At 42.8% G+C, this 14,392-nt stretch overlaps 2 protein-coding genes across 26 annotated transcripts in view, besides 1 other annotated feature; one reads left to right on the forward strand and one right to left on the reverse strand.

Moving 5' to 3' along the window:
- The window catches only part of ZNF333 (zinc finger protein 333), a 43,956-nt gene extending 37,725 nt beyond the window's left edge, over nucleotides 1-6,231 (forward strand). The window contains exon 12 of the mRNA NM_001300912.2: nucleotides 3,664-6,231. Coding sequence (NP_001287841.1) covers nucleotides 3,664-3,675 — 12 coding nt within the window. The 3' untranslated portion in view covers nucleotides 3,676-6,231. The remainder of the gene's footprint in view (nucleotides 1-3,663) is intronic.
- The window catches only part of ADGRE2 (adhesion G protein-coupled receptor E2), a 54,390-nt gene that overhangs the window by 3,341 nt on the left and 36,657 nt on the right, over nucleotides 1-14,392 (reverse strand). For 12 of the 25 annotated variants that reach the window (NM_013447.4, XM_047438728.1, XM_047438725.1 and 9 more), the window contains one exon: nucleotides 4,881-8,733. The exons of 1 other annotated variant lie outside the window; for it this stretch is intronic. In NM_013447.4, the coding sequence (NP_038475.2) occupies nucleotides 8,725-8,733 (9 nt within the window). In that variant the 3' untranslated portion in view covers nucleotides 4,881-8,724. Of the gene's footprint in view, nucleotides 1-3,126; nucleotides 4,175-4,880; nucleotides 8,734-9,958; nucleotides 10,108-14,392 lie in introns of those variants that run through there. 12 more of the 25 variants (XM_017026726.2, XM_011527951.4, XM_011527949.3 and 9 more) reach the window with 6 other exon arrangements.
- Nucleotides 3,055-4,254: an enhancer, noted in NCBI's record as "P300/CBP strongly-dependent group 1 enhancer chr19:14841378-14842577 (GRCh37/hg19 assembly coordinates)". NCBI's record gives its function as "activates an origin of replication core promoter dependent on BRD2, BRD4, P300/CBP, MED14 and CDK7 cofactors, with strong dependence on P300/CBP, by STARR-seq in HCT116 cells {active_cell/tissue: HCT116}" and the evidence as "EXISTENCE:reporter gene assay evidence [ECO:0000049][PMID:35650434]".

Raw genomic sequence — 14,392 nt, forward strand, 5'->3', positions numbered from 1 at the left:
AAACAACCTGATCTGGTGTGAACTACCAGAGCAAGAACTGACTTACAGCAAAGGGATTACTAAACCATTCATGAGCGATTTGCCCCCATGATCCAACACCTCCCACCAGGCCCCACCTCCAGCACTGGGGATTACATTTCAGTGTGAGATTTGGAGGGGACAAACATCCAAACTATATCATGTACCTATTAGTTAAATATAACCAAATATCTGAGGCAGTGATTTACAAACTTAAGAGTCCCAGTATCCTAATCATTTCCTTTAATCCCATTTAATGTTAAGTCTCACCTTATACCCTCTTGCCCACAATGGTGGAAAATCAATGGCTTATGTATACATGCATGCAGGTACACCTTTATAAAGTAAACTGAGCTATCTTACCTTGGAATTCAGAGTTTATAAAAATTTCCAGTACTTAAAAATATATTTGGCCAGGTGCGGTGGCTCACGCCTGTAATCCCAGCACTTTGGGAGGCTGAGACAGGTGGATCACGAGGTCAGGAGATCGAGACCATCCTGGCTAACACGGTGAAACCCCATCTCTACTGAAAATTAGCCGGGTGTGGTGGTGGGCGCCTGTAGTCCCAACTACTCGGGAGGCTGAGGCAGGAGAATGGCGTGAGCCTGGGAAGCGGAGCTTGCAGTGAGCCGAGATTGTGCCACTGCACTCCAGCCTGGGCGACAGAGCGAGACTCCGTCTCAAAAAAAAATTTTTTTTTCAGAATACTCAAGCTGCAAAATTTGAGCTGAGACTTGGTAAAGGCATGAGATAATTCTTCGAATATTTTTTCTATCTACAGGCTGAAGACAGAAACCTCGCTGCTTAGTGTCTCTTCTTATGCTAGGGTGTGATGACAGTCTGTTTCTCTGAGGTCTGGCTGAAGTTGTGGGGGTGGTCTTCTCCTCTCATCCCTGAGGTCTCTTCTGTAGCTTCATATCAGTTTTTAAATGGTCATGTTATCTTGCTAGGATATGTAGAAACTTTGTCTTATGTTTAGCTTTGAAGAATTTCTTGAAGCACATCACTTATAAATGTATTCAATAGAAAGATGAGCAGGTGAAGCCACTCATCTCAAACAACAGTTACTGCATCAAACTTTCTCTAGACCTGGGAATGAGTGACCTATGACGACAATGGAAAGGATGAAGAAAATGGCAAAAACTTCCATGTGAATCCCTTTACACCTTAGGTCATGTTGAATATAAAAATGCTCTAGCAATAAATGCTGGGTGCTGCAAAGTGAAACCAGCACTGAGGCAAAAGTTCTCTCAGCAAGGCAGTTTACTTCTGCAGAAGGGTGCCACCCACGTCAATCAAGATCCAAGAGCACAGAGAACAAAGGAGGCCAGGGGGGTTTTATATCCTTAACGCAATCCCTGCCTCCATGTCCTTCCCCCATGGGCTGGGGTCGGCACAATGTAAGCTGACCCGATTGGCTACTTGCGAATATTTCTCTCAAATAAAGAAGGGGGAAGGGGACGTGAGTTACAATGGTGGGACGTGCAGTTTTGAAGGGTATGTGTGTGGTTTTGAGGGGTGGAACGGGTGCAGAATGCGTGACCGAGGGAACAGATGTGAGTTATTGATTAGTGCCGACGGGAAGGCTGTTTATAGTAACTTGGGGCAGGGAGGCATAGAGACAAGGAAGTTAACAGACTGAACCTTTGAAGAGAAACCGAGAGATTCATTGCATCCTACAGTCAGGGTTTCTCAACTGTGACCTTATTGGCCAGATAATTCTTTGCTGTAGGAACTGCCCTATGCACTGAAGACTGTTGAGCAGCATCCCTGGACTATTAACTAAATGCCAGTAGCTTGGGTTGGGGAGATGTTGGTCAAACGATACACTTTTTTTTTTTGTTTTTTGAGACAGGGTCTAATTGTTGTTCAGGTTGGAGTGCAGTGGTGTGGTCACAGCTCACTGCAGCCTCAAACTACTGGGCTCAAGTGATCCTTCCTCCTCAGCCTCCAGAGTAGCTGGGACCACAGGCATGCACCACCATGCCTGGCTAATATTTTTTGTAGAGTTAGGGTTTCTCCATTTTGCCCAGGCTGGGCTTGAACTCTTGGGCTGAAGCGATCTGCCCACCCCAGCCTCCCAAAGTGCTGGGATTATGGTGTGAACCACTGCGCCCGGTGGGATACAAATTTCAGTTAGACAGGAGGAAGAAGTTCAGGAGATCAATTGTAGAGCATGGTGACTATAGTTAATAATAAATTATATTCTTAAAAAATGCTAAGAGAGTGGATGTAAATTGTTCTCACCACCAAATAATAACTATATGAGACGAGGCATACATTAATTTGCTAGATCTGGTTATTCCCCAATGTATACATCCATTAAACATCATGTTGCTCTTGATAAATACATCCAATTTTATCTGTCCAAAGAAAAATGCCAGTGGGATCCCTGCTAGTTGTATACTGGAAAGGGCAGAAATCCTCAGTTCTTTGTTGTCTTGAGAGAAAGATTTTGGCTAAAATGACTACTTTAGCCAAAAAGAGAATTTATTGAAGGAAAATAGAGAGAAGAGAGTTATTTTTATTTTTTATTTTTTGAGATGGAGTCTCGCTCTGTCACCCAGGCTGGAGTACAATGGCACAATCTCTGCTCACTGCAACCTCTGCCTCCCAGGTTCAAGTGATTCTTCTGCCTCGCAGCCTCCTGAGTAGCTGGGATTACAGGTGCCCGTGACCATGCCTGGTTAATTTTTGTATTTTTAGTAGAGATGGGGTTTCACCATGTTGGTCAGGCTGGTCTTGAACTCCTGACCTCAGGTGATCTGCCTGCCTCAGTCTCCCAAAGTGCTGGGATTACAGGTGTGAACCACCGTGCCCGGCCACTGTCTTCATTTTCAGAATGTTCCACTTAGTTCTTCCCAGCCCCTTCTCTCTTATCCCACCATCAGTCTGTCCTTCCTTCCTTCTTTCCTTCCTCCCTTCCTCTCTTTCTTTCACTTTTTTCTTTTTCTTTCTTTGCTTTTCCTTTCTCTATCTCCTTTCTTTTTCTTTGTCTTCCTCTCTCTTTCTGTATTTCTTGCACTGTAAATTTAAGAGTTTATTATTTAAAAAAAGTTAAAGCTAGCAAAGCAGTTTGTAATAACCCAAACTGGGAACAACCCAAATGTCTATCAACAGTGATTTTTTTAATTTCAACTTTTATTTTTAGATTCTGAGGGTACACGTTTAGGTTTGTTACAAGAGTATATTGCATGATGCTGAGGTTTGGGGTACAAATGAATCCAGTTAGTGAGCATAGTACCTGATAGGTAGTTTTTCAACCCTTGCCCTCCTCCCTCCCTCCTCCATCTAGTAGTCCCCATTGTCTAATGCTCCCATCTTTATGTTCACGTGTACCCAATATTTAGCTCTCTCTTACAGGTGAGAACATGCGGTATTTGGTTTTCTAAGTTAATTCACTTAGGATGATGGTTCCAGCTGCATTCATGTGGCTGCAAAACACACCACCATCAGTCTTTCAAACTCCCATCCCAGAATGCCCTAAATAGCAGATATTTAGGACATTCATAGGCAGTCCCTTACATGCTGCCCTGGTCTCAAGCACCGCCCCTCCTGCCCCCTCCCCCCAAGGATTGGCCCCTTTATTCATTCAATTTCTCTTCTCTTTCCCTCATTCTTCCTCCTTATAATTCCCTTTTCAGCCACCCAACTAATTTGGAAGAATTTCCACATCCAGTACTCTCTTGCATGTTCAGATCGCTAGAATCCAACCTCTGGATATCAAAGGATCACTACTGGGGCTTGAAGACTCCAAATCTGCAGATTCTGAAGCTTGCAGGTCAGTGGCCTTGGACTTTCAAACTTCCAGTTCCGTGACATCCGGGCTCCTTAACTTCCGGCTTCCGGGAGCTTAGTCACATACTTCTGGCTTCCGGATTGTAGGTTCCCCGCAAGGAGACTAAGGCCTGTGTGGGTCTTTGTTTCCCCAGCCGTGCAATGACTGTTAGATGCAGAAAGGGGGAAAACAGCCAGGGAAACTGCTCACAGTGGACCCCCACGGTGGAGAGCTGGAGGGAGAGGGTTCTTCAAACGTGTACCCTAGCTCCTTTGTCTGCTGTCTTTGGTGGGCGTGGTCTTGTACTTAAAATCCAGCTGAGAAGCCAAACTCTACCTTAAAGCCGTATTTCATGTTTCAAACTGGATGATATAATTCTGGAGAAATGAGATGGGAAACTCTGCTGCCTACTTGCCCCTTAACTCTTGTTTATCTTTGGGTTTCTTACTACATACCAGAGCTTAATCTTTATTTTCTTACTTAATATTCAAACACAACCCATGAGCAAATTAACATTATTTCCATCATAAATAAAGAGAATGGACTTAATAAATTTAAAAAGTGAAGATATGGGGGCAAATGGATGCTGCCATCAGCTGACCCTAGAGTTTCCTCTGACCTTCCTTCCCCAACCTCGTCTGTGTTTCACTTCTGCCATGTCCTTAAAGGGGCTGTGTGTCCCCCAGACCACAGAGTCCATTGCACTGCACCTTTCCTTCCTCCTCATTTTCCATCTTACAAATCATCAATATTCCTGGATGTAGGATCATGTCTGTCTTATATGTTTTAGTTTCTCTCAATTTAGCATTATGCCTTGCACGAGAGTATAGGAATACCTCATTTCATTGCCCTTCACAGATATTGCATTTTTTACAAATTGAACGTTTATGGCAGCCCTGTGTCGAGCAAGTCTGTAGGTGCCATTTTCCCAACAGCATGTGCTCACTTTGTGTCCCTGCTTGAGCATTTTTTAGGAATAAACTATTTTTAAATTAAAGTATGTACATTAAAAAAAAGACATAATGCTATTGCACACATTACAGTATAGGGTAAGCATACTTTTATGCACACTGGGAAACCAAAAAATGTGTATGACTTGCTTTATTGCAATATTCACATTATTGTGGTGATCTGGAGTGGAGCCTGCAATATCTCTGAGGTGTGTCTGTATGTGCTCATCACATATGTGATGAATGGATGAATAAATTAGTGTAGAGTGAAGTGCTTCCATGAACCTGAACATCATGGTCTGGAAACTATGGGCAGTGAGTCAAATCTGACCCACCATCTGTTTCTGTACAGCTAAGAATAGTTTTTACATTTTTCAAATGGGTGAAAACAAATAAAAAGAAGAATGATATTTTGTGTCACATGACTGATATATGAAGTTCAAGCTCAGTGTCCATAAAGTTTTATTAAAACATAGCCATGATCATTCATTTATGATTGTCTATAGCTGTTTTCATATCACAATGGAAGTTCAAGTTCAGTGTCTGTAAAGTTTTATTAAAACATAGCCATGATCATTCATTTATGATTGTCTATAGCTGTTTTCATACCACAGTGGTAGAATTGAGTTGCTGTAAATACCTGGCTCACAAAGCCTAACATATACACTATCAGGCTCTTTAAGAAAACATTTGGCGACCCCTGCTCTAGGTAGACTCTATGGGGATATGGGCTCTACACTCATAGGGACCCACATGTTCCAAGCCTCCAGCTGTGTGTTCTGCTTCCTCAAGCAGCAGCTGACTCTGATATTCCCCATCTCACCTTAGCAGTCTATATCAAGCAAAGGGCACGCAGAATCCCATGCACCCATCATGTATGTAATAAAAGGCAGATATTATGTGGTCTCTTGAACCAGCCTTAGGCATGGAGGTTGAGGATCAGGAGTGACTTGAGGGTACTGACTGGCAGAGCAGGAGCCCCGTTATTTTGGACAAACACCGCCACTTTAAGTTTCAGCTTCATTTTTAGCCTTCTGGATTTAAGGAAATTACTTTTTTAAAAACTATAAGCAGCCAAAAAAAGCAGACAGTAAAATGCAGATAAAACAGCTCGGGCACAGAGGAAGGTGGAGGAAAAGTCTCTTGGGTAACTGCCAAACTTCACCCTCATACAATGGGCCCCAGTAAAACAGTGGGCCTTAATAAGCACATTCCTTTCCCTCCAGGTGCACTAAAATAGGGAAGCTAAAAGCAGACTTGGGGGGTATGCCTACAGCTGCAGAAAAATGTATAAAAGCAAACACACCACTCTCCCTCCCATATAAGCACAACAAAAAAAACACAGAAGCAGTCCAAGCCTCTAAGAAACTCTCCCACCCTAAATCCTTAAACACTCTTAGTCTGTAGAAAAGACTCTAACCTAATTCAGCCAGCAGCCCCTCTCAGGTGTGTTTTCTCTAAAATAAACCTGTCTTAACCATCAAGCCACTTTTTGTGTTTCTTTCCTCTTTCTTTAATTCTTACACTGACCTAGTGGTGGAGGCTTGGCAAGGATGCCTGTTACCAAGTGGGTTACTTCTGCACTATTTATAGAGAAGGAGAAATGGCTAAAAGTAGAGGTACCAGGTTGCCAACAATGGTTACTTGGGGGGTAGCATTCAAAGTTCTCCAAAGCCCCTAAATCAATACTCATTGAGCTTATACGGACAGGCACAGAGCAGTGAAAAATGTGAGTTGCACTGGGAAATGTTCCCAGCTGAGTTGACAAAGCAATGCTCTGTAATGTTTTGGTTCTTATAAAAAGGTGCCCAGAGGATGGAGATGGTAGGTAGTGTAGGGCAGTGCAAGAAGCTCCAGCTCTGGGACCAGTTGGATGGGGTTTGAATCCTAACCCTGGCTCCTGTTAGTGGGATGGCCTCAGGCAAGTCACTTAACATTCAGGATCTCAATTTCTCTTTTGTAAAACAAATAGAGGCTAGGTGCAGTGGCTCAAGCCTGTAATCCCCGCACTTAGGGAGGCTGAGGCCTGCGGATTGCCTGAGCTCAGGAGATTAAGACCTGAGCCTGGGCAGCATAGTGAGACCCACGTCTCTACAAAAAATACAAAAATTAGCCCGGTGTGGTGGTACACACCTGTAGTTTCAAATACCTGGAGGGGGACTGAGGCAGGAGGATTGCTTAGGCCTTGGGAGGTCGAGGCTGCAGTGAGCAGTGTTTGTGCCATTGTACTCCAGCATGGGTGACAAAGCAAGACCCTGCCTCAAAAAAAATTAGAATCTACCAGGTTGAGTTGCTTTTGGAACTTAATATTATCATCTATGTGAGATTTCATATATTTTTGTATTTTTACTAGAGACAAGATTTCACCATGTTGACCAGGCTGGTCTTGAACTCCTGACCTTAGGTGATCTGACCACCTCAGCCTCCCAAAGTGCTGGGATTATAGGCGTGAGCCACTGTGCCTGGCCAGGAGCAGAGGTTTAATAGGCAAAAGAAAGAGAAAGGAGAACAGCTCTTTCTCTTGCATGGGAGAGGGGCGTCTGAATGGGAAATCTGACCCTCGTCATAGTGTACCAGATTTTATAGACAGGCTTGAGAAGGCGGTGTCTGATTTACCTAGGGCCTACCCCTATGTGAGCTGGCCACCCCACCCTAATCTTATTATGCAAATGAGCTTTGGCTGACACTATGTTGCCTGCTTTTTACTGTACACATGGCTGGCAAAGAGAAGGGAACTTGGAGCCGCCATTTTGGACATGCCTAGTCTAGGTAGCTTTTTCCTATTGGCACAGCTGCCGGCATTCACCCGTGGAAGCTTCCAGCTTGCTTGTCTATGTCTGCAGCTCGATTTTACAGGCTGTTCTTTGTTAGAAAAGAAAATGATTTTGGGGGCTGCTTTTCATTAAATGGAAAACCTTACTGAGGACTTCCTACCCTTGCTATTTGCCTAAATGATTTCTCCTTAACTCCTATATCATCACCATGCTTGGCTAATTTTTAATTTTTTTTTTGGGTAGAGATGGTTCTCACTCTGTTGCCCACACTGGTCTCAAACTCCTGGGCTTGAGCCATCCTCCTGCCTCACCCTCCCAAAGTGCTAGGATTACAGGGCATGAACTGTGCCATACCCATCTTCGAGGTTTTATGGTCATGTAGAATTTCTGTTCAAGGAAAGCAGATAACAGACAGGGTTAAGGGCATTTGCTTGGAATATTTAGGAGTTTTGCAGGTCATTCCTTTGAAATGGAATTTGTTGCACATCCCCGATCTGAGATTAGAAACTTTTCTGCATGTTGGTGTGAAGACGAAAGAAGACAGTGTTTATAAAATAGTTTATACTTCAATTGCCTAGCAGTAGAAACCTGATTTCTAGGAATTTCGGCTTCTGAGTCAACTCTAGCTGCAAGAGCCACTTCATTTTCCCCTAAAAGCTCCATGAAGGCAGGAGCCGTGTCTCTCTTGATCTATGTGTGAGTAATCAATATTTTTCACATGACTAAATAATCAAACCCGTAGAACTAGAGAACAACAAAAACAAAAACAAAAAATTAAGAAATCCAGATCGTGGTGTGAACATTCTAGTCCTTTCAGATGTTGTCGGTATGAAAGTCCTCTTAGGCTCGTTTTCCTGCTTCATTTTAAGATTTGGAGGAGTCTTTGTAGGAAGGAGAGGCTGTGAAAGAGGTCTTAACGTTCTATAGCTTCATAAATATTGTGCTTCAGAGTGACCAAGATATGGGCCACAGCTGGCCGTCCATATGCTGAGAGTTTGATGAGCACATTGCAGGGCATGGAAGATTTCCGGTTTCTGCAGGAATTGAATGCCTAGCACGCCTTCCATAACATCCTTCATATTGCTGACATGGTGAATTTCTTGAAACACACAGAACAAAGTCTTTTCTTTCCCCTCTAGATGGCTCAAAGATTGTTCAGATTTTCCACGGGCAAAGAGGGAAGATCTTATTCAGAAGATTTTTCTAGTTAACCTGAAATATATATATATGTATGTATTTTGTTGTTGAGACAGAGTTTCACTCTTGTTGCCTGGGCTGGAGTGCAATGGCGCAGCCTCGACTCACTGTAACCCCCGCCTCCCAGGTTCAAGCAATTCTCCTGTCTCAGCCTCCAGAGTAGCCAGGATTAGAGGCATGTGCCACCACACCCGGCTAATTTTGTATTTTTAGTAGAGACAGGGTTTCACCACGTAGGCCAGGCTGGCCTTGAACTCCTGACCTCAGGTGATCTGCCTGCCTCAGCCTCCCAAAGTGCTGGGATTACAGGTGTGAGCCACTGAGCTGGCCTGAAATATATATATATTTCTAAATATATTTAGAAACATAGATATATTTAGAAGTATATAGATATTTAGAAATATATAGATATTTAGAAATACATAGATATTTCTAAATATATATATTTAGAAATATATAGATATTTAGAAATATATAGATATTTAGAAATATATAGATATTTAGAAATATAGATATTTAGAAATATATAGATATTTAGAAATATAGATATTTAGAAGTATAGATATTTAGAAATATATAGATATTTAGAAATATATAGATATTTAATATCTATATATTTAGAAATATATAGATATTTAATATCTATATATTTAGAAATATATATATTTAATATCTATATATTTAGAAATATATATATATTTAGAAATATATATGACTATAGAAAGAAAACCTATAATTTCCATTTTGAAAAAGAAATAAGAAATTAGTTAAATAAGTAGATTATAGCTGCTTGTGCCACAAAAATAAGTAACTATGTGAGATGATAGATATATTAATTTGCTTCACATATAGATAACCATTTTATTATCTATATGTATCCCATAACTTCATGGGTTAAACCTCAATTGTGTGTATACACAATAAAATTTATTAAAAAAAAGAAATTTAAGAAGTCTTTTTTTTTTTTTTCTTTTTAGAGACAGGGCCTTGCTCTGTCACCCAGTCTGGAGTGCAGTGGCACCATCTCTGCTCACTGCAACCTCCAACTCCCAGGTTCAAGTGATCCTCCTGCCTCAGCCTCCCGAGTAGCTGCAACTACAGGCATGTGCCACCACTCCTGTCTCATTTTTTAATTTTAATTTTTTGTAGAGATGGGGTCTCACTGTATAGCCCAAGCTGCTGTTGAACTTCTGGGCTCAAGTGATCCTCCCATCTCAACCTCCCAAAAATGCTGGAATTCTAGGTGTGAGCCACCATGCCTGGCCAAGAAGTCTTTAATCATAAGGTTTTCTTACCATATGTATTTGTCAGGGCAACATCAAAAGGCCATATCAGCTTTCATTTTGCTCCATCCTGTTCTTTCTCAGAAGCCCCATCTTTGTATGCCTCCTAAACCCCAAGTTACCAAAGTTAAGAGGAAGTAAATGTGTTGCAGTAAAGTATCTATCTGGGCCAGGTGTGGTGACTCACACCTGTAATCCCAGCACTTTGGGAGGCCGAGGCGGGCAGATCACTTGAGGTCAGGAGTTTGAGACCAGCCTGGCCAACATGGTGAAACCCTGTCTCTACTAGAATACAGTAGTAATAATAATAATCAATTAGCTGGGCTTGGTGGCAGGCGCCTGTAGTCCCAGCTACTCGGGAGGCTGAGGCAGGAGAATCGCTTGAATCTGGGAGGTGGGGGTCACAGTGAGCCAAGATGGTGCCACTGTACTCCAGTCTGGGCGACAGAGTAAAACTCCCTCTCAAAAAAAAAAAAAAAAGTTGTATCTGAAGTAGGGTGATTATAGTTAACATTAATCTACCATACATTTCAAACTAGCTAGAAGAGAATAATTTGAATGTTATTAGTACAAAGAAAAGATAAGTATTTAAGGTGATAGATATCTTAGTTACCCTGATTTGCTTATATGAGTGTAGCAAATGATCACATGTACCTAGAAACTATGTACGTCTATTATGGATCAATTAAAAAACATTTAAAAAGATCTATCTGTTTCCAAATGTATGTCTTGACCTCGGAGCTCCAGGGTTTGTGTAATGTTGCTTTAAATGTGGAGTCATAAAAGAAGCCAGGTGGGAAATTAATGAAATGTTAGAAGTGTTATCTATTGTTAACCACATAAGATTTAAAGGAAAAAGCACTGAATTCCTTTTTTTTCCCCTGAGACAGGGGTCTTGCTTTGTTGCCCAGGCTGGAGTGCAGTGATGGGATCATAGCTCACTGGATACTTGACCTCCTGGGCTCAAGCAATACTCCAATCTTAGCCTCCCGGTAGCTGGGACTACAGGCATGCACCACCATGCCTGGCTAATTTTTATACTTTTTGTAGAAACGGAATTTTGCCATGTTACCCAGGCTGGTCTTGAAGTCCTGAGCTAAAGTGATCTGCCTGCCTCGGCCTCCCAAAGTGCTGGGATTACAAGCGTGAGCCACTGCGCCCAGCCTGAATTCCTTTTTTCCATATCTTTTCCATCTCCAATATGAGTTATTTATTCCTAGGTTCATAGGAAACTCAGTGTAATTTCTATGGTTCGAGATGGTCAGCTTCACTTGCTTATATAGTTAGTATTTAATGCATAATTAATATGTGCTCAAGAGATTAATAAATATTGTGCTTCAGGAGATTATTCAGTAGTGATCACAAGACATTTTGTTTTTATGAAACAAGACTGCAGAAAGCCATGGCAGAGACTGCAGAATAAGAGCAAGACACACATTTTCTTTTCTTTTCTTTTCTTTTTTTTTTTTTTTTTGAGACATAGTCTCACTCTGTCACCCAGGCTGGAGTGCAGTGGCTCGATCTTGGCTTTACTGCAACCTCTGCCTCCTGGGTTCGAGTGATTCTTGTGCCTCAGCCTCCCAAGTAGCTGGAATTACAAGCATCCACCACCATGCCTGGCTAGTTTTTGTGTTTTTAGTAGAGGTGGGGTCTTGCCATGTTGGCCAGGCTGGTCTCGAACTCCTGACCTCAAGTGCTCTGCCCGCCTTGGCCTCCCAAAGTGTTGGGATTACAGGTGTGAGCCAGCGTGTCCGGCCAAGGCACATACATTTTCAAACACCAGAGATAACAAGTTTTAGGAAACAGTAGAAGATAAAATGACATTAAGTAATGCAATGGATTTTCTTGGTCCTTTGTCAGTAGCTGGTAGAAATATCTGATCACACACCTTAAATTTCAGAAGCCTTTGTTGGCTATCTGATGACCTAACTCTAATTCCCTACACAAAAGTACATGTTTCCTTTCTTCAATGTGTATATATCATTTCTAGTGGCTGTGTGGGGTGAAAGGGTGATAAATATTTATGCAAATATCTACAATATGAGGCAGGTTTTGATGATTCTACAATAGGTAAACCCAAACTATATGGGTATGAGAGACAGAATAATGACCCCCCAAAGAGGTTCACATCCCTAATCCCCAGAACCTGTAAATGCTACCTGACATGGAGAAAGAGACTTTGTAGATACGGTTATGAAAAGGATCTTGAGATGGGAAAATTGCCCTGGATTGTCTTGGTGAACCCAATGTAATCATCAAGGTCTTTATAAAGTATGAAGGCTGTAGGAGAGTCAAAGACAGGGATGGACTGGGCGCAGTGGCTCACGTCTGTAATCCCAGCACTTTGGGAGGCCAAGGCGGGCAGATGGCTTGAGGCCAGGAGTTCAAGACTAGCCTGGCCAACATGGTGAAACCCTGTCTCTACTAAAAATACAAAAATTAGCCAGGCGTGGTGGCGGGTGCCTGTAATCCTAGCTACTCGGGAGGCTGAGGCACGAGAATCACTTGAACCCTGGAGGCAGAGTTTGCAGTGAGCCCAGATGGTGTCACTGCACTCCAGCCTGGGTGACAGAGCGAGTGAGACTCTGTCTAAAAAAAAAAAAAGAGGATGGACAGTCAATAATATGGGAATGTGGAAGGTGGATGGTCATGTTTGGTTGTATGATTGAGAGCATGGAGTTTACAATGTGTCATCATGATGACTTGGATTTGTGTGTGTGTGTGTGTGTGACATAGGTGGTGAGGGCATTTAGTGAGAACAGAAAAGGAAATAGAAGATCCTGTGTTGGAAACAGGGATTGTGCAGGTTGGATGAAAAAGGTAATGAGGCCAGGTGTGGTGGCTCACGCTTGTAATCCTAGTACTTTGGGAGGCTGAGGCGGGCAGATCACCTGAGGTCGGGAATTTGAGACCAACCTGACCAACATGGAGAAATCCCGTCTCTAGTAAAAATACAAAATTAGCCAGGCTTGGTGGCACATGCCTGTAATCCCAGCTACTTGGGAGGTGGAGGCAGGAGAATCGCTTTAACCCAGGAGGCGGAGGTTGCGGTGAGCTGAGATAGCACCATTGTACTCCAGCCTGGGTAATAAGAGCGAAACTCCGTCTCAAAAAAAAAAAAAAAAGAAAAATAAAAAAGGAAAAAGGTAATGAGAGAAATGCAAATGTGGAAAAAGTGCCTGGCAGCATGGTGGGCTTCTTTTCAAGACTTTAAAAAATTTATTATTTATGTATTTACTTTACACAAGGGGTCTTGCTCTGTCACCCAGGCTGTAGTGCAGTGGCATAATCGTAGCTCACCGTGGCCTTGAACTCCTGGGCTCAAGTGATCCTCCTGCCTCAGCCTCCCAAGCAGCTGGGATTATAGGCATGCACCACCATGCCCAGCTAGTTTTTATATTTTGTGTAGAGATGGGATTTTGCCATGTTGCACAGGTTGGTCTCCAACTCCTGGGCTCAAGCGATCCTCTCGCCTCCCAAGTAGCTGGGACTACAGGCATGTGCCACCACGCCCAGCGAATTTTTAAAACTTTTTTATAGAGATGGGGTCTCGTTACATTGCCCAGGCTGAATAGGCTGTTTTTTTTTTTTTTTTTTTTGGCAGAGTATTGCTGTGTTGCCCAGGGTGGAGTACAGTGGCATGGGGCAATCTTGGCTCACCACAACTTTTACCTCCCCGGCTCAAGCAATTCTTGTGCCTCAGCCTCCTGAGTAGCTGGGATTATAGGTGTGCACCACCATGCCTGGCTAATTTATGTATTTTTAGTAAAGATGGAGTTTTGCCATGTTGGCCAGGCTGGTCTCGAACTCCTGGCCTCAGGTGATTTGCTTGCCTTGGCCTCCTGAAGTGCTAAGATTATAGGTATGAGCCACGGTGCCTGGCCCTGAATGGGCTCTTTAAATGTGAAGCAAGACTCAAGAGGCCTAAATCTCACTGGCTGAAGAGACTCTGTACATTTCTTTTTTTTTTTTTTTTTTTTTTGAGACAGAGTCTCGTTCTGTTGCCCAGGCTGGAGTGCATTGGCGCGATCTCGGCTCACTGCCAGCTCTGCCTCCTGGGTTCACACCATTCTCCTGCCACAGCCTCCCGAGTAGCTGGGACTACAGTCGCCCACCACCACGCCTGGCTATTTTTTTTTTTTTTTTGTATTTTTAGTAGAGATGGGGTTTCACCGTGTTAGCCAGGATGGTCTCGATCTCCTGACTTTGTGATCCACCTGCCTCGGCCTCCCAAAGTGCTGGGATTACAGGCATGAGTCACTGTGCCTGGCCGAGACTCTGTACATTTGACACAAATCCAAGTAGTCTTACTTTGCTCATCAGTGAAATGGGGTTAGAATTACACATATAATCTGGAGAAGATGGAAGAAGAGGTGAGAAAAATACAACAG

The sequence above is a fragment of the Homo sapiens genome, chromosome 19, assembly GCF_000001405.40.
Source record: "Homo sapiens chromosome 19, GRCh38.p14 Primary Assembly".
Taxonomy (NCBI): domain Eukaryota; kingdom Metazoa; phylum Chordata; class Mammalia; order Primates; family Hominidae; genus Homo; species Homo sapiens.